We start from the raw sequence: 27,560 nt of genomic DNA, 5'->3' as shown, positions 1-27,560 counted from the left end.
ATCCTGACAGATGCGATGGTCTTCAGGTTCTCATGATCTGGCTCTTGTCCTGTCCAACTCTAGTTTCTTTGCAAACCATGCAGCATCTCCTCTTGGGGCTCAGATCACTTGGAGGGATCTTAAAGAAGTTCAGCATGGAGCCAGATGGCCTGGTTCAAATTCTGGCACTGCCGCTTATGAGTTGTATAACCTTAGGCAAGTTACTTATCTGTGCCTGCTTCCATATCCTCCTCTACAGTATGGGAATCATGATTGTACTAGGTTCATTAAGCTGTCTTTACTCCTGAGGCTACACTGAGGAGTAAATGGGGAGATTAATTTAAAGCAGTGGAAAGTAATTGTAGACACAGTGAGCCTTCTGCCAGTGTCAGCTCTTGCTATGACAACAACTTTTGTACCTAAAGGGTGTGCGTCCTACTTTGGGCCTTTGCTCCTGTTGGTCCCACTACCTGGAATGCCATATCCTTTGATTGCATGTCCTTCAAATGTTAGCTCCTTAAGCCTCATTATATGTTCTCAAAACTCCCTGTAATTTTCCATCCTGACATCTATTATAGTTTGCAATTCCATTTTTAGAGTAGGTTTTCCTCTTCCGTATCCTTCTCTAGACTGCGAACTTGAGGGCAGGGGATGAGTCTGTGCTGCTGTGGCTTCTGTCTTCAGTACCAATAACACAACCCAGCACATCAGAAAATACATGTTGAATGAATGAACAAATACAATGGTATGGCCACTCAGGGGCAACTTCTTCACTGGGAAAATGTTCCCCAACTACGACTCAAACACTGTTGCTCTGACACAAACGTTCCTGACAGATGCAGTAGCCTACAGGTTCCCATGATCTGGGTCTGGCCCTACCCGACTCTAGTTTCTTTACATACCATGTTGTATCTCCTCTTGGGGCTCAAGTCACTCAGAGAGATCATTCAACATCCCAGAGATTCTAGGGCGGGGGGATGCCTTGGTGTGCAGGCTGGGAGATGCCATCCAATACTTCCTTCCTCCCTAGCCTTCAAGGCTGAAGCAGGGGGGCATGTAGACACCCCTTCAGCCTGTAGTGTGCTTGGGGATGTGGATGGGGTCCATATTCTTGGTCACATGACCAGGAGGGTGGTTGCTCACTGCTGGACTTCAACACCTGCAGCTACCAACAAAGCTCCAGCAAGGTCCATGTTGAGCATATGGGCCAAGTTAAACACACAGCGGGGTGTAGGAAATGGGCTTTAATAAGCATATAATTATCCTTAAAGGGGATCTGAGTCCTTTTCCCTTCTAAATATACTTGTGCATTATGAGCTTTTAATTAAAACTAAGGTGAGTATCACTCTGCACTAAGATCATGCATAAGAAATGAGAAGGTGGAGATGGTGCCAAAAGGGTTTGGGTGTTGATAATGCAAGGTAATTGCAATGCTGTTCCACGAAACACATTTTGTTCTTGGAAGCTGAAATTAGATTTTGATGTCTTTTGAGATTCTTACTGCCTTTCTAACTCATGGTGAATCTCCTTTCTCAGTTCTCTGCTCCACTGAGAGCATTAGGGACAGTTAACATTCTGGGAGCAGATACTCTGTAATGAGATAGTCTAGTTCCCAAGCCCATCCTATGGTGGGCAGCCTCGGAAGCATCTGAAGTCTGGGTGCAAAGAAAGAGGGGTGCCAGTCCTATCATGGCTGCAATGTTACAGTCAGGGAAGATTGCAGAAGGGTCTTTCACTTCCTAAGGAACTAGACTCTAAGGCTGTGTTGCACCAATGGGCTATGGTCTCTGCCAGGGACACGGTCATGGTTCTTTGAGTCCAAGTTGCAGACTGGACTCTGGCCCCTGAAAAGCATCAGAAAACTTGGAAACACTTGGAAATGTAATGAATTTTCACTCAGAACTTTGAGTCTTTCCTCTTGTTCTGACACCCTGTGCATGTAGCATAAAGGGAGGGGGGGAGGAGAGAGCTTGGCTTAGAGTGGTCTCTCTGTGTCCTTGCCCATTCTGGTTGGGTGTTCCCCTCAGCGTCCTGGCAGAAGACACCAGGGACAGTGTCTTCTGTCCCTGACAGAAGGGATAGCTTCTTCTACAGCCCCACCTTGATGAATTATCCACGGCTTCACAAGTGTGGACCCGCAGCAGGGAGAGCATTCCCAAGTCACTTTAAAGGTGAAGTACAGAAAAGACTCCCAGGATAGAAAGTCAAGGTGCAGCATCCTTTCCATCCACCTTTTCATGAATAGCCTTGTGAGAGTCCTGGGCTTTGTCTTTTCTTTTAGTTCTTCAGAATGGATGCGGGTGGTAAACAAGTGCTCCCTCATCTAACACCAGCTCCATCCTGATTCCTGGAGATGCCTAAGGCATCCCATCTCAGGGTTTCTCTACATCGCAGCTCAGCAGTTATGACATCCCAATTAAGCCCCACTTCCAGTAATGGGAGGGAGGTTGAGGACTTGGCAGCAGGATGTAACTTGAAAAGATTAATGAAGCAAGTCAAGGAGGAACGTCTGCATAAGCGCTTTTTTTATCTAAGAGATAAAGGCTTCACTACAAGGTATTTACTGCACCCGTGAAGCTGGAGAAGAAATAGACTCAGGAGGGTTATTTCATTTAAACATCTCGGTGTTCTTCACTGTGGAAGATCAAAGGATGATGATTTAGAATGTGACATGCTGTATAAAGGAGGGGTCACACCAGCTTGGCAAAGCCCTCCTCCCTCCCTTAGGACCAAGCACTAAAGCCAAGTGGATTGCCCTTCTCTACCCCGTACCCCAGTTTCCAAACATGCTTCTCCCAGAGCATCTGCCCTCAGGTTAGAAGGAACACTGGGCTCATATATGGTCCTTCTTCAATCCTATATCTGAGCCTGGGTCCAGAGTAAGCCCGTGTATGTGTTACCTGTGTGCTGCCTGAGTGGCCCTGCCTTACCTATCTGGTTCCCATGTGAATTGCCCATGGGTGTGACTTAGGGACTGCCAATGTGTGTTACATAGGTATGGCCTACATGCGTAATGCTGTGTGTCACCTGTGAGTGCCATATGTGTGCTGTTTCCTTGTGTTTGATGTGCTGCCTGTGTGTGCTGGCTGTGACTGTATCACCTGTGAGTGCTTCCTGTGCACTGGTGTCTGTTATCTTTGTATGTGGTTTGTTACATTTATGCTGATGTATGTTAAATCTGTGTTACCTGACCACCACATGCTCCCCTGTGCTACTTGGTATGTGTGTGTGTGTGCGTGTGTGATGTCTATATGTGTATCATCTGGCTGCATTTCTTTGGGTGTTTTCCCATGCATTATTCATGTGTACTGACTATATGTCACCTGAATTTGCTGCCTCTGTGTGTCACCCGTTTGTGTGCAGCCTGCACGTGCACTCACTTGGGTGGGTCACTCGTGTGGTGTGTTAGTGTCATAGTGTGGGCTTCTCCTGTGTGTTGTGCCATCACCTGTGTCCACGTTGCCCATGTTACTGAATGTATCACCATCTTTTGTCACTTGTACATGTCACTTGCGTGTGTTGGTGCTTGTTTGTGTTGCTGTGTGAGTCTCTTTGTATCCTCTCCTGTGTGTCACCGGTCCATGCATGCTGCGGAGGTGTGATTCCTGTGCATGTCCTCTGTGACCTGTGTGTGCCACCCCATGTTTGCTGTGCTTCTGTGCTCTGTGTTAACAGTTTCATGTTTCTCCATGTGAGCTACTGATCTCATTTTGTGGGTTATTTGCCTATACTGGCTGTATGGCGGTGTCTGTGTGGTGACGTCTGTCTCATGAGCCTCACTTGTGTGTTTTGCCATCACAATTTGTACCCCGATGTGATGTCTGGGTTTCATCCAGGCGTGGGGCCTCGTGAATACCCACGTGTTCCTACCACCCTTCCCGCTACTATGGCGAGAGGGGCAGGCAGAGACGAAGGCTGGCAGGAGACTCCTGGGAACTCCGGGTCCTCAAGCTGTTTCCGACAGGGCCCTCCGGGCCACGGGAAGAGCCGGCCGCTGTCCTCGCCGGGACCAGGACTGCATCTCCTCACCTGTCCCTGGGCCCCTCCTTCTGCTGGTCAGGACCCTCGGGAGTGAGCCTGAACCACTCGCCCTCCAACCAGGGGACGTCGGAGGCCCGGCTTGGGCGGCTCCCCTACTGCCCAGGTAGCGAGTGCAGTGGGCCTTCTGTGGACTCTGCCCCACCTGACCCTGTCCCTCTGTCTGCCGCCGACATACAAGGGGACAGCGGGCTCCACGGGCTTGGGGCTGGCATCGAGGCTCGGTTGGCCCAGGGTCACCCGCGCTGTCCTGAGGCCCCTCGTGCTCCTGATGCCCGCGCTTTCCCGGCTCCTTTCACAGCCAGGGAAACTGAGGCCATGAGCCCAGGCTCAGGACGGCAGAGGGGGAAGAGGCGAGATCCGGGTTCTGGATCCTGATCCGGCTTTGTGTGGATCGGGCTGGAAGCCACAGAAATCCTCAAATGAGCTCAAGGAAATAAAAGCGAGGAGGAGACCTGGCCCTGGCAACTGCTGCAGTACAAGTCTGGCTGCAGGCTCGGCTGGATCCAGGGCTCCAGTGATGTTTTTTTCCATCTCAGATCTGGACCTTCTGCTCTGAAGGCATCTCAGATCGGGGCTGCTCTGGCCCCACTAATGACCCAATCTAGGGCCTGTGCCCCTCAGACTGCCCCTTAGGGGCCCCATCAATAGGACAAGATGGAGGCTACAGTCTCTTCCAGTTCCTCTCACATGAGAGGCTCTTCGGCTATCCCTGAGGCAAGGCCTGGCATGCACTCTGATTGGACTGGCTGGGCCATGTGGCCAGCCCTGCACCAATCACTGGTCCAGAGTACAACCAGTGAAAGTGTAAGAGCCTTTCCCATTGGCCAGGGAACAAACCCTGATGCTCACAGTGATTGGACTTGCTCAGGCCATGTGACCAGCCCCGCACCAATCACAGAACCAGAATACAGTGGTTTCCAACCACACCCGGGGCTAGAGGCCGCTCCATAGACCAAGGACATCCGTGGGGGTCCCAGGGTCCCAGCCAGGGGTGGGCGGGCTCCTGAGTGAAACTCGGGTGGTCCTGGAAAGAGGGGGCGAGACCCTCCGTGTATCTGGAGTCTGTGCCCCAAGGCCCCACGTGGGGACTGGGAACGAAGAGAGAGGATGCTGTCGGGGGCTCAGCCTCCTCACACCTGCCCGGGCACCAGGCACGGCCTTCAGGCCTCCGGGACGGTCCTGGTGGGGCTCGGCCCCCCTCGTCCTGCGCCTCCTCTGGGCCCGCGGGTCCCCAGCTCCCCCAGCCCCGCCGCGGGCCGCACCTCTCTGGACGGCGCTGTCAGGAGTAGGAGTTCAGCCCCAGCGCATCCGCGCCAGGACCCGGGCTCTGTGGCCACTGAGTGCAGAACACGCCGAGCTTCGGAGGTCTGGGAGTTCCAAGTGGAATTTGAATTTTTAATCTAATTGTCTGATTCGTGAACTCGGAAGCTGACGTCACGCCCAGACGTCCCAAGGTATGAGCTGTAGATACGCACGTGAGCGCTGGTGGGAGACGCCAGGCTGGGATTTCCGCTCGATCTGGGAATGAGCAATGCAACCTAATGACACCCAGAGCTCCTGAATCACCCGAGGAAAATGACGAGAGACTCCCTCCGGTGGGAACGTCTCCTAGAAACAAGGCCTAAGATGGGGCGACAACAGCCCCACAGCTGTGTCCAGATGCAGGGAGCACTCGCCTGTGCTGTAAGTCTGTCCCACAGTGGAGAAAAGGCTCAGACCCCACGGCTCTGCTGTCCACCCTCAGTGCGGGGGAGAGGGGGGATCCATATCGGCAGTCAAGGAGCGGGAATCTGAAAAGGCCAAGGCTGAACCCTGCACAGAACCCAGACCTCCGTGTGCCTCCAGAAACAGCCGAGGCTGGGCCTTCCTTGAGATACTCTTCAACTTCAAGGCTCTTCTCACCTGAGCTCCTTGGAAGCTGTCCCAGACAGCTGCTGGTCCCTCCTCTGTCCCCACTGTGCAGAGTGTGGCCCCACTGGAGAGACTGTTTTTCCCCCCGTGTATTGGAGTCAGTCACCCTCACCTGGAAGAATGGGACTGTTGAATTGAGGCATCATGGGTCACTTCCATCCCAGAGCGTTTGATTTGAGTGGTGAGTCTCTCCAGAACCCACTCCCTCTGGCACGCAGAGGGCAGCAGCAGCAGGGGCCCTGCAGTGGTTACAGTGAGCAGAGAGCCCCTGTGATCTGTCATGGGTGTATGGCATAGGGAAGAAACTGACAGTGGCTTTTTAAGCCCTGGAGATTTGGGGATTGCTTGTTACTGCCTGAAACCTTTGCTTTGCATGGATTAGCCAAAGGCAGCTCTTGTAATAGAACAGCAGAGTCTTGGACAGCAGTCAGACATAGATTCCTTTCCAGTCACATTTGGCTTGTCTGTTGCCCAGGTCCAGCTGTTGTCCTGTTGTCTTGCATTCCAGGGCCCAGAGCTGTCATCTTTATTCCCTATGACAACCTCTTCTGCAAGGATTAGGCTTCATTTATTTGCACCTGGTACATCTGTTTCATTAATTCTGATTTGTTCTCCTTATCATTCTGTTTATTCTTATCATTTCCAACTACTTTTAAATATTTTATTTATATTTTGTTTCAATTTCTCCTGTTTATGCCATAGAATTGGGGTTTCATTCTAGTGTTGTTGTCCACTGATCTCTCCTCTGGGCTCTCAGATGGTTTTTCAAAGCTCATGAACATGGGTTAGAGCATCTCTAATGAGTTATCACTTCTGAGTGGAGAGTTCACAACTTATAAACAGAGGATCTTAGGCTCAGAGTGTGTACTCCCTAAATCTGTTAGACCTGTTCTTAGGTCAGTAAGACTGGGGGGCAGGTACACAACTATTTCATTAATTTAAAAGCTTAGAAAAACAAATCGTATAACACTGGTTGGCACTGTATGAATTTAAAAGAAGACATACACATTTAAAGGTATACACTGTAGAAATACATTCAGAAGAGATCAAATAAAACCAATATTCAGAATCACATTCAGACTCTACACAGAACCATTCCACATCTGCCACTGGTCAGTGACTACATTCATAAGTTAACATGAGTGGTTTCCATTAATCACTGGGATGGTGCACACTCCCTATCTAGAGTGATCACATGAAAATCTGCCCCACAGGCTCTGAGGAACAGGCCTCAGACTGATGTGTGAAAATGACCCATATTGGTGAGAGCTTGCTGTGTGTCGGGAGGACAAGGCACTCATATGCCTTGCCTGGTCTCCATGAATCCTCACACTGGCCTATAAGACAGGTATGATGTTATCCCTGTTTAAAGATGAAGAATCTAAGTTCCAGAATTGGCCATGGTCTTGTATTTAATGGGGAAGATAGGATGGGTCTCTACTAGTACATCTGCCGCTGGTCAGTGTCTACATTTATAAGTTAACATGGGTAACTGATAACACCAATTCCCATCAGTCATCAGTGGGAGGCTGTGATTGGTGGGTACAAAGAATTGGAAAAGGAGGACACTCTGGGAACCATGAGGATGGTATTGAGTGGATGTGGTTCATCTCATTCATTCCCAGGGTGTGGGGTCACTGGTACACTCCTGGACCTTGTTGAAGCCTCATTTATCATCCAACAGCTATTCATTGAGCACCTACCACATGCTGGGGAATGTTCTGGAAAGTGGGGATGAGACACTGAACAGGTCAGACACGGTTCCTGCCCTGATGAGTTAATGTTATAGGGGCAGAGGCTGACAATAAGCAAGTAACAGAATCATGGACACAATGATTCCAGGTGGTGATGTGTGTTCTGAGGACAGTGATGCAGGGTAGCGGTAGGTAGTGTGTGTCTGTGCATGTGTGTGTAAGTGTGTAGATGTGTGTTTATGTGCAAACTTAAGTGCAGTTTGTGTGTGTGGACTTGTAAGTAGGTGTGTATGCATATATGTGAATTTGTAGGGGTATGTGTGTATCCGTAAGTGTGGAGGTGTTTGTAGGTATACATGTGTGAGTGTGTAGGGGTTTGTGTTTTTATGTGTGTGTATGTACATGAATGCTAATTTAGAAAGAATGGTCAAGGGGAGCTTTCTGGGAGTTCACAGTCAAGCTGAGGTGTTGGGGAAAAGTATTGCAGGAAGAGCAAATGGCAAGAACAAACGAGCTAAGGTGGGACCTGGGCTGGAGTGTGGAGAGAAGAGAAAATTTCATTAGAGATGTGGGAAGCAATGTAGGTGGGGCCAGGTGCTATGAGGAGCAGCAGCCTGAAGTAAAGGGTTTGGGTTTTTATTCTGATTCCCATGAGAATCCCTTGGGGTTTTATCAAAACCACATTTATTAAGGGTAATTGATATGTAATAATCTGCACATTAAGTTTGATGAAGCTTGATAAGGTTTGACACATGCACACACCCATGTAACCATCATCACAATCAAGGTTGTGAACATAGCCCATTACTCTCCAAACCTTCCTCCAACTGCATCCTCACTTGCATGACAAACAGAAAGTGCTGGCTTTTGACACCCTCCAGGAACAGCCTCCCCCGATGACTGATGGGAATTGGTGTATCAGTACCCCAACTCCCTCATCCGTGGGAGGAGGATAACTCTGAGGCCTGTGTCCTACCTGGATTCTCAGATTTCCCAGTGGGATAAAGCTCTGGTTGCCACAGAGGTAACACTTGGAAACAAATTCTTTGCTAACTGCCGCCTCATCCTGCCCCATTCTCCCTTCTCTTACCAGTGTTTCCTGGGGTCACCTACCAAATACACTGCTCGTCCTGAATCTTTGTCCCGGGCCTGCCTGTTCCTGGGAGGGCAGAAACTAAGATGACATATATTACAGGCAGACCTTGTAGGACCTAGAGGAAATTAGACATGGGGCGTGAGATGATGAGGGAGGTAATGGATGAAGTCTACAGTTTTGGGCCTGAACATGAAGGCAGCACTGCTGTAGAATCATGGATTTTATAAAAGGAAAACATTCCAGAATTGGGAAAATACCAGTAAAATCTCGAGAGTCACATTATCTAAATTCTTCCTTGGCAGCCCCAGGATGATGGGCTGTGAATATTTATCCGTCATTTCAGTAGCCCCAAACTGCAGATGCCTTCTGTGGGTCTTTTCATTCCTGCCTTATAGCATTAGAAAATCTCTCTTTCTATCATCTGTTGGCAATGGAATATTCAAATAACTTCCAATGAGCAGCATTTGTGTGTAAAATGTCCAGACACTGTCCCCAAAATAATTTCATTAGCCCCCTCATTTTCAGTCACACATGACTTTATTAAAAGATTCCTCTTAGGAATTAAATTTTCATGCTTGATTAGCACCTGATGGTGAATTCACTGCAGAATTTAGTGACATTTATTTCAGTGCTTTGTGAGTTAGCAGAGTGTGTGTTTCTGACTAGTAAATGGATTTCTTCAACTTTACTTTTGACCATGCCTGGGAATTGTCAAAGGTATTCTGGTTAATAGACAATTAAAATACTGCAATTCTTTCTATAATGGAATGTGTCAAAGGTGAAATTAGCACAGTTGGTAGGCAGGAGTGGGAAGGTGAAGAGCCTGGGGCTCAGTCTGCAGCCCCCTTCTCACCCTGGCTTTGGGCTGTCCTTAGGCAAGCTCACACAGCTGCTGCTCTCAGCAACCCTTGATTCAAGTCCATCCTGGTGTGTTTGGCAGAACAATGGCCCCCAAATATGCCCAGACCCTAATCTCTGCAACCTATAAATATGTCGCCTCACATAGGATAAAAGGCTTTGCAGATGCGATGAGGGGTTTGGACCTTGAGATAGGGAGAGCATCCTGGGTTGTCCAGGTGAGCCCAGTGTCCAGGTGAGCCCGTGTCTAGGTGAGCCCAGTGTCATCACGTGAGTCCCTAAAATAGGATAACTTTCTCAGCTGGGTCAGAGAGATGAGCCAGAAGCAAGAGAGACTGTTTGAGAACCTCACCCTATTGCTGGCCTGGAAGGTAGAGGAGGGTGCCAAGGCATGCACATGGCCCCTAGAAGTTGGGAAGGCCCTGAGCCAGCCAGCCAACGAGGAAACAGGGATCTCAGTTCGATAACCACAAGGGAATTCTGCCAGCAACCTGAGTACACCAGCAAATGATCCTCCCCTAGGGGCTCCAGAAAGGAAAACAGCCTGTGGATACCTTGATGTTAGTCCAGTGAGGTCCACATCGGACTTCTGACTTACAGAACTGCAAGAAAATATATTTGTGTTGTCTAAGCCACTAAGTTTGTGGTGATTTGTTAGGGCCGTAGTGGGAATGTAATACAGGTGGTTATGGTTCTGGAAGTAAAGGAAAGCTGCCCTTCAGCTTGCAGAGACTGGAAGGCAGCTCCACCTGAGGCCAGGAGTGTATGTGCAAGGTATTGGGTGGGGAGAGCTGACCTTAGGATGGAGAATAGAAATAGATGTGCTGAGAAGGATGCGTCCAGCTGCCCAGGAGAGAACGTTGGCAGTGCTCACCAGTATCCTGAAAGCTAGAACAGGGTGAGTCAGCCCCAAATAACCACCACTGTGAACTGGAATCCTGAGAGCGAATTACCCACTTAGCAGAGTGCTGACGCTGCCATTTGCTTAGCAAACTTGGCAGAGGATCAGCAGAACGACTTCCTAGAAATGCTGGGGCAAAGAAACAGGTTGGAAAGTGTGTGATCTGCTGAAGTGTTTTTATTTTCTATCGAGAATGTCATGTTTGTGCTTTTTGTGTCCTAACTGTGAAATGATACACTGAAAGATTGATTTTGTTAAGAAACTGTGCTTTGCTTGCTGTGATCTTCTGATATTTTTGAAAGGTTCTCAGGGAGGGGGTCATTTTTTCTTTCACTGGCAGGTCTGAATCACACACTATTATTTATAGAGTAGTTGGGCAATTTCTCTCAGCTTCTCTGGTGATCACCAGCTGTACCAGCTCTGGTATGGATCCTAGAACATTGTCTGTGACCTGTGGCAGGTGACGACTTCCTGGAAAGAGCCCACATTGAGTTCTTATGATGATTTGGAGCCTGTGTACCAGTCTGTGTCTGTGACAAGGACATGGCGGAATGGTTCTGGGAACCTGGGCCCGTCCTCCACTTCTCTGACATTCACTCTTTCACCTGATCTTTCCTGAGTGTGGATTGTTGGCCAGGCCCTCCCCTGGGTGCTGGGTATGAGCATCAGTGGGAAGATCAAGTCCTGCAAATCAGCTCACATGTCAGAGACTCGGGGAGCAGAGACAGTGGGATGGTGCAGGATGAAGTCGGCACCATCTGAATACAGGGGGAGGAGGGTATTTTATTTTGACTTTGCCCCAGTGTTATAAATTAGGTTCTGCAGTGGAATGAATGTTTGTGTCTCTTTAAATTCATAAGTTAAAATCCTAACCACCACCACGGGGATGGTATTAGGAGGTGGGGCCTTTTGGGGAGTGATGAGGTCATGCAGGTGGAATCCTCATGAATGGGGTTAGTGCCCTTCTAAAAGAGACCTCAGCAAGTTTCCACCGTGCAAGGGAATGGTGAGAAGTCTGCTGTCTGCAACCTGGTAGAGCCCTCACCCTGCTGGCACCCTGATCTCATACTTCTGGCCTCCAGAACTGCGAGGAATATATTTCTGTTGCTTATCCACCCAGTCTGTGATATTTTCTTATAGCAACCTGAGCTAAGACAGAGATCCTGGAGAGATGTTCCTTTGCATTTGGGGTCAGTTAAGTTTGCTTTGTATGAGCGAGTGTGAGAAAGAGAAGGCAAAGAGGAGGGAGAGAAAGCTGCTATTGGCTGACACAAGAGCTTGAGGGAACACTAGGGAAGGCTGAGCAATTTCAGCTCTCACTCAGGGATAAATCAAAAATTACCTAAAGTGAGTTGATGGAAAACTCAGGAGATTTTTCTTCCAATTGGTAGGCAGAGGAAATGGGGTATAGAAATGAAACAGATGTTCTGACTAAATGTTAATAACCCATAGGCATGTGTGAAAGGCAAGATTGTATAAAATCAAAAAATCAATTTTAATCTAAAGGAAAAAATGCAATGATAGTTCCTGTTGCTGTCATTCTTCTAAGGTCTAGGTTGAAGCATTAGGACCAGAGTGATAAGAAAGACAGGTTAATGCAGCCAGGAGAGGAATAAAAATGTACATTCAACAGGAAGAAATATTTGCATCCAGGGTCCTAGTAATGAGACAGATGAGAAAGTATTTGATAAAAGCCTTCAAATGCAGTGCTTTATTCACAAAAGCCTTGGAACAAGGCATGACAAATTAAATAATTATTTCTGCATCCTTTACTGCAGAGTCCATCTTGTGAACTTGAAGTTAATAACCACAGCATTTATTGTGCACCTACTGTGTGGCAGGCCTTGTGCTAAAGGCCTTAGATGGATTATCTCATCTAATCCTTGCCTAGTGAGGTACGTTCTGTTATCATCCACATTTTACTTGAGGAAACCAAGGCACAGAGAGGGTATAGAGTTGACAAAGGCCATGCATCCGGCAGAGGCCACACATCCGGCAAAGGAGAGAGCCAGGATTCCCACACAAGTGTGCCCCACTCCAAGTTGGGTCCTTAATACCCAGAATGTGGCACAGTGGGATGGTGACACACAATATGTGGGGGCTATAAAAATATGGACAATGCAGTTGAACCATATATCACTCAGGGATTACGTTTACACTCAGGGCCTTTAAACAGCACCATTGCCTGGCATTGGAGCAGATTGCATTGTTTTCTGTCTAGTATCAGATGAAGTAGCTTCCTTTTTGTAGGGCCATTTTGAATGAAAAACTTCGTTTTAAACATCAAGACCAGCTTCTGAATGGTGAGATGTTCACCCCCTGGAGAGACAGATGAGGGGACAGCTCCTCTCCACTTGGGGGATTGGGCTCGTCCCTCAGCTCCTCGCCATTTGGGGGATTGGGCTCCTCGACTTGAATTAGCTGAACAGTTCAAATTACATTCTCTCTCTCTCTCTCTCTCTGTGTTTTTGGGTATATACATTTGGACTTACTAATCACATGAGTGTGGCAGGATCCCTCTGTGTACCATATAATAATAACTTAGTGGAAGGTTCCTTGGTTGATATTCACATAGCAACCCCCCAACACTGACTTTCTGTTCCCTCTGCACATGCTGACCACAGCCCAGGGCATGTGACCATGTATGGGGTCAGTCCCTCTCCATTCCCAGCCACGTCTCTTCCTACCAGGGAGGGTACTGGTTGGCCAGGAGTCAGCATGCCTAATTCCTAAGTTTTGCTTATGCCGGTTGTGTGTGTTACTGAATTTAGGTGCTTTAATAAAGCATCATATGTCAATGAGATAAGAGGGCAAAATAGGGTTATTTCTATGAAACCTAAATTGAAAGCAGTAGGTTTACTTAACAGACATACTAAAAAAAATTCTTTTGTCTTAAATGTAGTTGAAGCAACTGTAGAGAACTAGGTATAATTACTGGAGGATTTTGTACTGGAATTATAGGTTTAGTTGCTTTGTTGAAAAACACAAACAAAAACCTCTAAAACTCTGATTCCTGAGTACCATACTGTGGCTGTGGTTGATGGAAGAGAAAGTGAGTAGACTTCTAGTTACGAAACCCATACTGAAAACATTGACAAACAATTGTACATTTCCATGCATTGTGTGAAAATATTTTTAAGAAGTATAGATCTTATTTTTTTCATGATTCGCCACTTTCCCCAACTTTATTCAGTCAACCAACTAAAGAGACGTCTATTCTGATAGGAAGCTCATAGGCAGGAAAGAGAGAGTCTTACTTAAAGAACTGAGATTCATGTGTCCTTTATGCTTTGACCTTTAATTCTGTTAAGCTCAACACTGGGTGACCTCTGACTCCTCCATCATTCCAGTGAAATGGGAAAAGTTCCCTTGTTCCCCTCGCAGGTGCGTGATGAGGGGGTGCTCGCTTCTGCAGTGCCCCGCTGCTCAAACCTCTAGGGTAGCATACAGTCAGGCAGACTGTGGGGCTCCAACCCCACGGCAGTGTCTGGGGTGAATGTTTACAGCTGAAGCTCCAGTGGGCATGTGTTTCAGGGTGCTCTTTTAGTTTAGGTGTCTGTAGGTGGCTTGTGGTGGTCAGCTCAGTTAGACCCCTGCCTTATCGCAAGGACAGAGGGCTTTCTGTATCCCAGGGTTCTTGCCTTGGTGTACCAGAAGAATCAAATCACATACGGTCTTAGAGAATGAGTGCAAGGTTTTATTGAGTGGAAGTAGCTCTCAGCAGATGGGGGAGCCAGAAGGGAGATGATTTTCCCCTGGAGTTGGGCCGCTTGGGGTCTGGGCTGTCCTCCAACTGCCCCAGCCAAACTCCACATCATTCTGCCGGTTGGTGGCCTGTGGCTTGCTGGTGCCTGTCAGTGCGTCCCTCTCGACGTCCAGCCACCCGTGTGTTCCTCCGCGGATGTGCTCCTCTCGACGTCCAGCCACTTGTGTGTCTGCCTTGCTAGGGTCTTGGGTTTTTATAGGCATAGGATGGGGGCATGGCAGGCCAGGGTGGTCTTGGGAAATGCAACATTTGGGCAGGAAATGCCTGTCCTCACCTAGTTCCATGGGGCCAGGGACCATGCCCTCCTCTACCCAGCACTTTCCCACTTCCATATCATTTAAAGGGACCATGCCCTTCCCTGCCCAGCACCCGACTGCCATATCACCAACAGCTCTGCCGTCATCTTCCCCCTCCCCATCCCTGGTTTCCATCTTCATGGCTCCCACTTGTCTCCAGACTTACTGTCCACTCGCCTGGGTGATGCTGCGACTTCCCCCTCTGTCCACTCCCTTCTCTTTCTCTCCCCAACCCCATCCATTCCACCCTCCACATTATTGAGACATGGCTCACTTTACCCAAACCTAGTAAGGGAGTGAGTGCATGGGCAGATGAGGGGAGCCCCCAGCAGTCCCTTAGCATCCAGCACCACCCCAGGCGTCCACTGTGGCTCAGTCCCAGCAGGCATCTCTTCCACCCACTGTCCCTGCTCTTCAAGTCTGATCCGTTCATTGCACACGGAGGGTCTCCAGGCCCCTGGATACATCCTGCCAGAGCCTGAGACACACCAGCTAGAGGTCTCCGGTTCATGCAGGAGATGTCAGATGGTTGTTCTGCTGTTCCTGAGAGTGGCTGTGGGGATGGACTCACTGTGTTCACCACAGCCCCGCCCACAACACGCAGCAGCTGAGAGCCCCAGCATGCCCAACACCACTGGCCTCTATCTTCCTTCCTTCCCTGAATTACTGGGCTCATTTTTTTTGAGCATGGAGAAATGATTTGCCGTTCAAATACGGAAGAGTATTTCCTTCACCCTGCTTCAGGCAGGCAGGCAGGCAGGCAGACAGACCCCACAGACCCCAATCCTGAGGCTTCCTCCCCACCCTGGGCACCTGTATTGCCAACAGCATTTGCGTTGGTTGAGGGCAGACCCTTTAAAAGTGCCGTGCATGGACAGTGGATTCTTGTTGAATGCTGGGGCCAAGAACACTGACCACACCAGCAGAGAAGGCACTGGCAAAGAAACCAGACTTCTGAAGGAGCCGCGCATGTGGACACAGCAGCACAGACTCAGCTTGATCTCCAGAACGCTTCTTCTGGGAGGACCCCTGCCTCTGTATGGGAGATGCCTGGGAGCGTCCATGGGCCAGATCCACTGGTGTCACCGTGCCTCGCTGGGCTGGCCCAGGAAAGTCATTTTAGTTTTGTGTTGAAAGGGGGTGGGGCATTGGGGAAACTTCTGGGCAGTTTTCTCAGGGCCGCAGCCTTGGATTTGGGTATCATATTCTGAAATGACTGGAATGGTCAGGAAAGCTCTCTGAGAAGGTGATATTTGGGCTAAGGCCTGCATAGAGATGTGGGGGGAGAATATTCTAGACCAAGGCCATTGGGATGGGCCGAGTTCAGGCCCATCTTCTCTGAGTTCAGGGTTTGGGTGAAGCTGTCGTGGGCGTTTTATGGCCTCTAATGGTCCCTGTGAGCGCCCTTCCTATGGGCACACATCCCTCATGGTGTCTGTCACAGTTCCAAGGGGGAAACCAGACTCTATTTCCCAGCATCCCTTGCGGCCAGGCCCCTCATGTGACCTGAGCCCCCTCATGTGACTCAGGCTTAACTAATCAGAAACCTCCCATGAGCCTTTGCCCAGGAAAAGAACTGGAGGAAGATGGCAGCTGTGTGGATCCCTGTGTGGGCACTGGGGCTGGCAGGGCTGGTGGACTCAGCGGGAGTGGGAAGGAAGAAGGTTGATGTCCCCTCCCGGGGCCAGCAGAGTGAGCTGTGGGGTCAGGTTGAGTGGCCTTCCTTGGAGCAGCCCTTGTTGTGGGCTGGACATTTGTAGCCATGGAGTCTTTGCCCCCATGAAGCGTCGGGACCTTCCTGATGTCCACACTGGCCCCAAGGAATTCGCTGCCTCTGGGTCTTGTTGGAAATGCACTATCTCATATCCCAGCCAGACTTGCTGAGTCGGGGTCTGCATTTTATCAAGACCCCTGGGGATTTGTGTATAATGGGAGTCAGAGAAGTGTGATCTGTAATGAGCTACTCCTGCTTAATGCAGCTGGACGGGTGGTCTTCTGTGGTTACAGCAAAGAACCCGATGATGCAGAAGCCATGGGAGGGATGTGACCAGGGAGTGAGATGATCGGGTTCATCCTTTATCCATCCTGCTGCTGGACTGCAGACGGGCGAGACAGGCCAGCACGTATCCAGAGAAAACACATCTCTGACAAGACAAACATGCAAAACCTGTGAAAAGACCCAGACACACACACCTGCAGGTGAAACTTAGACACACATGCACACACACACAAACCCAGAAACAACCGTCTACACAGGCGCACAGAACCACAAACACACAAGCAGGGGTGGGGTGACTTCACCCCAGAACATCCCCTTTCTTATTTCCCTGGATCTGCAAGAAGGAGCCGAGCCTGCCTGACTTTGGTCCCTCACTCACCACTAGACCTTGAAAGTGAAATTGAATATCCACAAGCCCGTGACCTTGGGGTTCTGGAGAATGGGTCCTGTAATGAGTGTCATGGCTCCAGGCCAGGTGAAATGTAGGCGTTCCAGCCTCTGTCCGGGAGGGTCACTCGGCCCACTTGCTGAGGGCCGCAGATCCATGTGGCTCAAATGCTAATGGCTTTTCAGCTGGGGCTGCTAGAGCCCAGTGCAGGACCATGGGCAGTGTGTTTGCTGGAGGCACTTTTGCCCTCGACAGGACATTGCGGGCAGGCTACCTGCTGCGACCCAGGTTAGCACAATGTGATACGTGCCATTTGTGCAGCAGCAGGGGACTGGGCATAGAGACAGGGGACATCAGCCTGTGCCCGTGATCCAGCTGTAAACACAGATTTATACCCAGGCCAAATCTATCCACGAATACATTTCAAAGGAATAAAATCACATTAGAGGGATAGTAATTGTGTAATATATTGCACTTGAAATTAGAATTCTATGAAATCTCATTATTTATGTCTAGACTAAAAGAGATTGAGTTTTGGTTATTGAACTACATTTCCTGTTGCTCTGATGAGGAATGATGCTTCTCTAAGAGCCGACTGTCTCATTCCTGAAGCGTGGTGTTTTCAGAGCAGCACCACGAGGGGCTTCTGGAAGTCTCTTGGACTCAGGGTTGGTCTGGAGGGACATTGGGGCTGCCCTGGCCTGCTTGTCCTCAGGCCCCTTCATCCCCCTTCCCACGAGTCTCTGGGCTCACCCCGGTAGGCCACATTTCCCAGGCTCTGACTGGGCTGGTGTCTGCCTGGATTAGTGGTGGGGGGCTGTGGTGGAGGGTGGGGGCAGGAGGACCCAGGGCGCCTCCCTCTGCAGTGGCTGCATCTCCCCCATGGCTTCAGTCCCCGCTGTGGCCTGTTGAGCTGGGGACCCTACTCCCTCTCATGGTCTACCCCAGGGTCAGTGACAGGTTGCTGTGCTGGCTGATCCTCACCTCACAAGCTGCCTTTTGCCTTCTCAGCTTTCCATGCAAATCCCTGCATTGTCCCTTCATGGTGAAGCACCTGCAGTGACCCCTCTTTCCTTGGACCGTGGTGCAGACATGCCCCTCACCAGGACACCCAGGCCTTTACCCCACCCATTTCGTCCTCCTCTCATCCTCACACACCCTCTGCCATGGTGCCCAGACTCCCTGCTGTCCTGCACACCAGCCCCAGCACCTTCGCTCCTGCTGCCTGCTTGTCTGGAGTCCCCACCATAGAAACATCCCCTCTGTGAAGTCCCTGCTCACATGTCATCTCCGGAGACCACTCCCGAGCCTCCCACCTGCAGATAGCATCTGCTGGGACCTTCCAGAGCCTTTTTCTGTCCCCACTTGAGTGCTCAGCAAGAGTGCATCTTGCAGTAGTCAAACGTGTTCATTTGCATTCATTCTTTTATTCATCAATTATTCACCAAGTATTCACTGATGCTGACTGTGTGTAAATCACTGTGATACAGCAGGGTAATCAGGAGTTTTTCCATTGTAAGTGACGGAAAGCCCAACTCAAATTGGCTTCAGTAAGAAGGAAAGTTTTTTGACATATAACAATCCATAGGTATGTCAGCTTCAGGCATGGCTGAATCCAGGAGAGCAACTTAGGTCTCTGAAGGCTCTTTACACCTCTTGGCTCTACTTCATGTTGGTGATGAGCTGCAACAGTGTAATGAGAATTTATTTGCACTTCTAAGTGGCAGAAATCTCTAGAATTGGCTTAAACACCATTGTTTGTTGATGCAAATAACCACTCAGGGATAGTTTATCTTCAGGCATGGCTGGATCCAGGAGATCTCCGTAATTCTCTCCTGTTGCCTCTTACTGTGCTTCCTCTGTATTGGCTGCTTCCTCAGACAGAATCCCTCACTGTGGTGTCAAGATACCTTCTAGGGGTCGTGAGGCTTGCATCTCAGCCTCTCAGGAACCCTGCTGGAAGGGGAGGTGCTTGATTTCTCCAGTCCTTCAAAACCAGAGTTTCAAATTTTAGTTTCCTTGTCTCCCAAAGGTCTGGTTTTGGCCACACATCCATCTGTGTTCCTATAATTGTGGCCAGGGGAATGCAGGGTTTTGATTGTGCCTGACTCACAGGCCCAATGAACCAAGCATACATTTCAGGCAAGTCAAATATATGTGTGTAAACAATGAAAGATCATATATATTCAATTCAAAATTTGATTTTGAGAAAATTGTAGATTCATGTGCTGTTGTAAGAAGTAATGCAGGACCTTTTGCAACTTTTACCCAGTTTCCCCAGTAGTAACTTCTGGCAAAATGATGGTCCAATATCACAGCCAGAGCATTGCCAGTGAGGCCTTGTCGGGTGGAAAAGTGGCAGCCATCCCAGCCAAAATGTCAGCAGATAGATCTCCGTTGTGTTGTCAGATGCGTCATATGCTTCTGTGCATGCATCAGTGTGTTTGTAAGACCACTGCACAGGGTGGCAGAGGTTCGCCACAGAGGCCACAGGTTACAAGGGTTTCGTGAGGTGTGGTTAGATTGGAGGAGTTATGCGTTAGCTTTAGAGGGGAAAATGTTCTTACATGGGTGTAAGAAACTGAAAATTAGTTTCCCAAGATGGTGGACCAGGAATATGTTCATGCATCTCTGTGTAATTAAAATTAGTTTTTAAATAGAAATAAAATAGTGTCCATTTCCCTGAAGGCAGAATGTCTCTTATCTAGTGTGATGTTTGTCACATGAGTGGCAGACAGTGTATGATTTTATCGAATCTCCTCAGTAGATTGCTGGAAAAATTTTCCAACACAATAAGGTTAACAGCTTCTTTATTATAGCTTTATGTAATTGCAGCATTTTATTAATGACATAAACCAGCATGAACTCTCAGTCTATAAACAGTCCCCTCCCTGCCTATAGCAGAGAACGCCCTCCCTGTGGTTAATGGGGATGTATCCCTGGCTTCAGAAGGGAGGAGCTATCCTCAGAGGGTGGTCAGTTCCTCAGATCCTGGTCGTGCAGGCAGTGGGTGCTGTTGCCCTGTCCTGGGAGGGTGAAAAGTTAAGGGTGCTTTTCTACAGGGCAGGGGAGAAGGGAATACATGTACAAGATGCAGCATGCACAGCCCCTGTTCCAGGATCTGCAGTGGTTCCCTACTGACATTCATGACGGAAGAATTACAGGCGGAGGGGAGGGAAGGCCATGTGAGCATCATTTCTCTGGTGTGTGTGTGTGTGTGTGTGTGTGTGTGCACGTGTGCCAGATGCTGACTCAGTGTGTTTTATGCATCTTCTGATATGTATTTAAGGTCATCCTGTGGCAAGGTATGATGATTATCCCCATTCTACAGAGGCGGGATCTAGGCTCAGCTCCTGATAGTGGGGCCTGCATCCACACCCAAGTCTAATTTAACCAGAGCCTGTGCCTCTTGCCACAGCCCTGTAAGGCCTTAGTACAACATTGGTTCTAGCTTGCGAGCAGGTTGCCTGAGTTCATGGATGGGACGTGGGTGCCGAGTGCATGCCCTGTTTTTCTGTTGCCTCGGGGAAATGAAAGGATATAGATGGGAATGGAGTTGAGGATGGAGGTCTGGAAGGCAAAGGGGGAGGAGTTCAAGCATTTTATTCTGATCTCCTTGTTATTCCCCAATATTACCATTATCATCATCATCCTCATTATCACCATCTTGCCCACCATTGTCATTGTCATGGTCACTGTTATATTGTCATTCTCTTCATTATCATTCTGTTATTTACCGTCAACATTATCATCATTATCTTTGTCATCATCAAGATCTCCTTCATCACTATTAACTTCACCATCATCATCACTATCACCATTACCATCATCACCACCATTACCATCATCACCACCATTACCATCATCACCACCATTACCATCATCACTATGACCATTACCATCATCACCACCATTACCATCATCACCACCATTACCATCATCACTATGACCATTACCATCATCACCACCATTACCATCACCACCACCATTACCATCATCATCGTCATCATCACAGTCACCCCTTCCTCCTTTCTTTTACTAAATGTCTTTTCTTTTTTTTTCTTTATTTTACTTTATTTTTATTTTTTTTGAGATGGAGTCTCACTCTGTCACCCAGGCTGGAGTGCAGCGGTGTGGTTTCGGCTCACTGCAGCCTCCCGGTTCAAGCAATTCTCCCACCTCAGCCTCCCGAGTAGCTGGGATTACAGGCACCCGCCACCACACCTGGCTAATTTTTGTATTTTTAGTAGAGACAGAGTTTCACCATGTTGGCCAGCCTGGTCTCGAACTCCTGACCTCAGGTGATCCACCCATCTCGGCCTCCCAAATGTCTTTTCTATATGTCATTGATTTATTTGAGAAAGTGAGGTCATTTTTCATTGTGTGTTGATTCACTTGTTTTTTTTAATTTTATTTAATTTATTTAAAAATGTTTTTATTGAGATACGGTTTCACTCTGTCACCCAGGCTAGAATGCAGTGACTCCATACTGGCACCCTGCAGCCTTCACCCTTTGGGCTGAAGCAGTCCTTCCCCCTCAGCCTCCCAAGTAGCTGGGACTACAGACGCTACCATGCCTGGCTAATTTTTTTGATTTTTATTAGAGATGAGGTCTCTCTATGTTGCCCAGGCTGGTCTCAAACTCCTGGACTCAAGAGATCATCCTGCTTTGGCCTCAAAAAGTGTTGGGATTGCAGGCATGAGCCTCGGTGCCCAGCCCTCTTTTTAAAAATATATATGCACTATTCGGAGATTTACAAAGGGAATATGTTCAGATAGGGTGAAATTAAAACTAGATAATTTTTTGCCTAAAATAGCAGAAGAAAAAATCTGGTCACTCACTCTCACTAGTAGTATTTTGATAGCTCTCCTTCCAGTCTTAATTTAATGAAATGATATTCAAATAATTTTTTCACCAAGTAGGAGAGAAGGCAGTCCATGATATTTCACAACCACCCTCCCTCACTGGGTGATATGTCATAACACATCATGCCATATCATGCCACTGTGGTCCTTGTACATTTGCTTCGTGATAGGGAATCCTCAACTGTGACTCTGGCCAGCCCCTCCCAGTTGTCCTCATGGCTGGTCAGTGGGACAATCCTCTGTTCCCCACCTCCCTCTTTCCATCTTCATCCCACTATTCCTTGATCATCAGCTCCTGACCTACACCTTCCAGGGGACCCTTGCTCCCTTGTCCTCTGGGATCCTCCTCCTCACAGGGGGTTTACAGCCCTTATGTGATCTCATCCCACACCCTCGTCACACATGTCCTGAGGCGCTCCCACTCCAGACACTGGGCTGGGTATTGGGGACATAGGGACAGCCCAGCTGACATTATTTGACCCCTTACAGGCACCAGGAATTTACTTGTCTAATCCCCTGCATTTTCACAGCAGCCCTATGAGGTGTGTTCTGTTATGTTCCTGAATTGAACATAAGTAAAGTGAGGTAGAAGTTGCACAGTGAGCAAGAGGAGAGGCCGGACTTCACCCCAGGCCATCAGAATCCAGGGTTGAGCTCCGAAGTCTCATGCTAGTCCATGGCCCGAGCCTGGGAGGAGGTCACCCCGTGTCAGAGGACCCTTCCCCTGTCCCTGTCTTGTGTCGTGAGGAAGGCCAGACAGGGCCCTAAGTGCTCTGAGCAGCTGGAACTCGTTGGGATACAAGTGACAGAAAAGCCAACTTTAACCAGGGGATTTCGGATTCAAGCTCCTGCACAGTCCAGGGCTACCGCTGGCTCCTGCAAGACTGGGTTCAGGCTCCATGGCGCCATCAGGGCCCGATGCCTCTCTCCCCACACCACTGTCTCCTTGCTCCTTTCACGTTGACTCCTTTCTCTGACAGGCTCCTCCTTCATGGATGTAAAATGGCTGCAGCCCCTCCGGACCTCACATTGTCTCAGCTTCAGGTCCACTGGGAAGCCACCTGCCTCCGTCCCAGCATTCCCTGCAATCATCTCATTGGATCTCACTGGGTCGGATTGGGTCACATGTCCATCCCTCAGCCAATCACAGTGGCTGGTGGAATAAATGCCCTGATTGGCTTAGGCTTGGGGAAGTCACACGGTCTTGCCTGAGGAGTTCTGGAGCCTTTTCCAAAAGACAAGTCTAAGAGCAGGAAGGGCCCCCTCAGCAGAGATGCACTGGCGTGGGCTCACCAGGGAGAGGGAAGAGACAACGCTTGGCACAGCCCACAGCACGGCTGCTCATAAACACTCACAGCCCCTCCGTGTCAGAGGACCTTCCCCACCACTGACATCAGGCTGGGCCATGCGACTGCCTTTGTCCATAAAACTGGAGAGGAAGTGAGGGGCGTGGCTTCTGGGCAGCAGCTTTAGTGCTTCATGAGTTATTCGTCACGTTCTCTCTCCCTCCCTCTGAGCAGCAGGAAGTGCAGATGGCGAGGACGAGACGCCCAGCCAAGGGACAATGGACGAAGAGCGTGAGCGGGGGCGAGCCTTTCCCTTCGTGAGCAGCTGGGATCGGGGATGTTTGTTACCGCAGGGCAGCCTAGCACGTCCCGGCTGGTTCCCACTTACACACACAGTGCGCGTTTGTCACGGACCAGGACCTGGGCATCTCTGGGGCTTGTTTCCCTACAGAGCCAAGTCTGCAGGGCACCCAACAAATAACCCCCAAGTCACTGTTCACGCTGCTCCTGCTCCCCCGGGCTCTGGGTGGCTCCTTCCCCCTCCAGAGCCTCCGGAGCCGCCCGTGCTCCTTGCTCCAGCCTGAAGCACCCAGGAGGACCCAGCAGCAGGTCAGGAGCAGTGACAAGCTCCTGAACCGTGGAAATGAGTCTGGTTTCGATCGATTTCCTCGGGGTCTCTGCGATATCCTCGGGGCCTCTGGGCTTGGGTGTGATCAGTTTCTGCCCTGGATCAAATAGCTGGAGGGGAGAGCTGGCCTCAGATGTGCACTGGCGGCCAGAATGTTCCCCAGAGTCACACAGGGCCAGGCCTGCAATGCAGCATTTGCTCAGCGGCTGACCCATTCTGTGCACTAGGAGGCTCCTCGCTCTCAGAAACAGTCACTCCTCCCTCCCACGTGACGCAGCCTGTGCATTTTCAGGTGAGGGACGGCCGGTGTCATCGTTGGAGCTTCCTAAGAGTCCCAGAGGCTGATGCACCTCCCAGACTCTCCTCGGCCCGGCTCCCTGGGCCCTGCTCCAGGGGCTTCATTGCTCCCTGCCCCGGGTCACCCCTCGGCTCACCGTCTCTCAGGTAGGCGTCTTCACATCAGATTTGTGGCTTTTCTGTTAAAATCCTTCACAAACTGGCTGTGCCCTGGTGGGCGGGGCCCAGGGCTGAGCAGGGGCGGCTCCAGGGTCAGATGGACTCGGGCTGACTCGGGCTCCACCAATTCTGAGTGTGGGAATCGGGGACCCTTCTACCCTCGCTGAGCCTCAGTCTCCTCATCTGTAAAATGGGGATAAGGGCGCCTGCCTCCTGGGACATGCTGGGGAGTCAGCTTAGCCCCGGGACCCATGGGCACTCACTCAGGTGTTGCTGTTACCTTGCTGCTGGTGAGATGGAAGGAGCAGCCGATTCGCGCAGAGAAGGAAGCAAAACGCTCTCTCGTGGTTATGGGCATCTTGCAGTTGATCTCACAGGGACAGGCATTTCCTGTTGGGAAGGATGTGGCTCTACTGGGCTCTGCTGTGAACCTGGGTGAACCTCGTGGCCTCTCAGCTTGGAATGTTGAGGATTTTAAACCCACTTGGATGTTTCACCCTTGGCTGTCCCAGGAAAATTCTTTTTTTCCTTTAATTTTGGCAAATAGCTACTGTAAAAAGCCAAGAGTTAAATGTATGTTCCCCTTATCTCTTATACCAGCTCGCTGCCCCTTGGGGTCTTCAGTGGGAAGCCCAGACCTGCTGTCCTGAGGCTATATCTGGGTGAGGAGCCCGGGAGCGGCCGTGCATGCCTGAGCTCCCATTGGCGTAAATGGGGACACAGACAGGCGCCCCGTCCACCTGTCCTGTCCCTGCTAAGTGTCGGCCTCCTCGCTGAGTGGGGCCCCATCAGTGGCTTTTCAGATGAGTCAGGGATGCTCCAGGCAGAGCTGCTGTCACTCCAGGTGGAGCCCTTGTCTGCGGGGAGCTGCCCCTCCTCGGGTGCCTGGAGAGGGCACGTATGTGCGGGGTGGTCAGTGTGGCTCAGGCCTCCACACTACCTGCCCCTGCTTCCCTCCTGCTGAGGCCGGGTGGACTCTGGGGGAAGGGACCCGTGCTCATGGGTTCACGGACACAGAGCAGGATGTGGGGCCAGAACATGAAATCCCTGCACAGACCCCTCGGTTCTTCCCACAGATCCTGTTTTTCATGCCCAAATCACCTGGACACACTTCTGTTGCCCCGGCTGGTTCCCAAAGTGGCCCTGATCCCCCCATCCAGGGCACTATCCTTACCACGTGCCTCTTCCCCCTGGCCAGCCCCCATCCCTGCCCCAGCCCACAGCTGCCCTGCCCAGGGGACTTCAGTCCCAGATCCACAGCGGCTCTTGGGAGTCTCGCTGGGAAGGCATGGGTGGGTCACTCCCATTTCCCACCATTCCACTGGAGCCTTCCTGGTTGATTCTGAGGTCCAGACCCCTGTCTCCTCATCTAGATGGGGACACCGAGGCTTCTGGGAGGTAGACAGTGCTGGGGGAACCATCAGGAGATCAGCAGCCAGGCCTGGACTCATGTGTTCTGGGACAGACTGGGGCCCTCCTGCCTGGCCTCTGGGGCCTCTCAGTCCAAGTCTGCAGCCACCTGTGGTCTGGAGGGCCACAAAGCTCATGGTTTGCAATCCCAGCCATTTCTTTTCTAAATCAGTAAATCCTGACCTCTGTGGACACCGCCATCACTGCCAAAATCAGGTCAAAGGCAGCTCCCTTGTGCACAGAGCAGGTCCACTTCTGCTGCTGACAGGTGGGAGTCCCGATGCCCTGGGGTCCTATCAGCCACACCCCTGTCTTCACCGCAGGGCTGTGTGTGCACCCCTCACTTTGCTGATGACCAGAGGCTCCCCGGACACGGAAGCCAGATATCACCATGCTCATCCCTAGAGCAGCCGTGCGGGGCATGGAGCAGCAGAGCTCAGAGCTTATGCAGGGCTGATGCGGGGAAGCTGGTCTCCCCATGCTGCAGTCCCCATGGGGGAAGGAGCTCACCTGAAGGGGGTGCTCTCATTGGCTGGGAGCCTCCACTGACTCCACAGCACTCTCCTGACTTGTGCCAGATGCCTTTGAAACAGTCACTGGGCTGAAAAGTGACCAGAGCATGGGGTCGAGCTGTGAAGATGAGTTGGCCCTGGTTGTGGACGGTGAGGGAGGGAGCAGCGCTGGCCTGGGCTCTGGCAGCCCTGCTGAGTCCATCTCCCTGAGGATGAGCCGGGCTGGGCCGGGGCTGGCACTCCGTGATGTGGAACGGGGTGTGTTGGGGGAGCCTTTGCTGGGAAGGACTCCTGCTGAGAGGAGCCGTGTGTCGTGGAGGCTGTGGTTCCGAATCTCTCAGTGGGTGTGATTCTCTGCTTATTCGAATTAACTAAACTGTAAATCATGCCTGCCACATCCCATTCCCATTGGTTTCCGTGGATTCGCTGCTCATTTCTTGTTAGAAAGTGCTGTGGGCATCAGGAGTAGCTCAATAAGCAAAATGAAGCAGGTGCGGCAACTTCAGACAACCGAGTGTCCGCTGGGCTCTGCCTGCAGGTGTCTCCTTTTCATGAAACCAATTTGGCCCTGGTCAGCCCATTATGATAGGGAGGGTGGGGTTCGCTCCTGGGGATGGAGGGGCCGGCTCTGGGAGGATGAACCGAGGCACAAACAAGATGACATGGCTGTGCCAGGTGTTCCTGCCCAGGTGCCTCTGACATTGCAGGTGCCACGCTGCGTGGTCCTGCTCCATCCACGTCCTCCATCCCAGGACAGATGCTCTTCTCTGTTCAAGCCCAGAGGGGACAAAGTTCACCGTGACCTCATTTCCCTTTAATGCTTGGGCAGTTTCCTTCCTAAAGCACGTCTTGGCGTGGCTACACCACTCAGGGGCCTTCGCCTGTCTACAGCTCCAGGGAGGTATGGAAAAGTGTGACCACGGGCACAGCAGGAGCTCTGGGAGAGCAGGAGCAGGCCCTGGCAGCACCGCTGGCCCCGTCCTGCCTCCCCTGCACCACTGTCTCCTCTCCTGACTCCTCCTCCGCCTCTGTCGTGGCTGCGTCCCCTCCCCTCTAGATGTTCCCAGGAGCTCCCGGCTCAAGGGAACTCCTCCCTAAGCCCACATTCTCTCCTGGCATGTCCTTTAGTTCTCCTCCAGTTTACAGCCACACTTTTCCAATCTCTTAAATGATGGGTTTTAAAATTAATTTTCACCAGGAAGAATATGCTGGGATTTTAAATGAATGTCCTCTTTCTCTAACAACTACCACTTAGACAGGAATCTCCATGTTCCCTGTGGGCAACCCCGTCTTCTGTGAACCTTCCAGAGATATGTTAAACACATACAGAAACACGGAGATGTTTGTGTTTTCTAAGATAATATAGCACAGCATGGACTTGTCTTCTTCAGAATTTTTTTTCATTGTTTTCCTTCCCCTACTGGTTTTTAGGATGGACATTCTGCATCTCTTGTCGCTTACCTTTTGACAAGT

At 50.3% G+C, this 27,560-nt stretch overlaps 1 long non-coding RNA gene across 2 annotated transcripts in view; it reads left to right on the top strand.

Moving 5' to 3' along the window:
- LOC101929974 (uncharacterized) overlaps positions 1 to 27,560 on the top strand; it is a 76,895-nt gene that overhangs the window by 31,415 nt on the left and 17,920 nt on the right. The window contains exons 1-2 of one of the 2 annotated variants that reach the window (NR_187798.1): positions 4,928 to 6,112; positions 24,002 to 24,153. This is a non-coding gene — a long non-coding RNA (uncharacterized LOC101929974). Of the gene's footprint in view, positions 1 to 4,927; positions 6,113 to 24,001; positions 24,154 to 27,560 lie in introns of those variants that run through there. The other variant, NR_187799.1, reaches the window with a different exon arrangement.

Source organism: Homo sapiens, chromosome 12 (genome assembly GCF_000001405.40).
Source record: "Homo sapiens chromosome 12, GRCh38.p14 Primary Assembly".
NCBI classification, from domain to species: Eukaryota; Metazoa; Chordata; class Mammalia; order Primates; family Hominidae; genus Homo; species Homo sapiens.
This window is presented reverse-complemented; position numbering and strand designations above follow the sequence as displayed.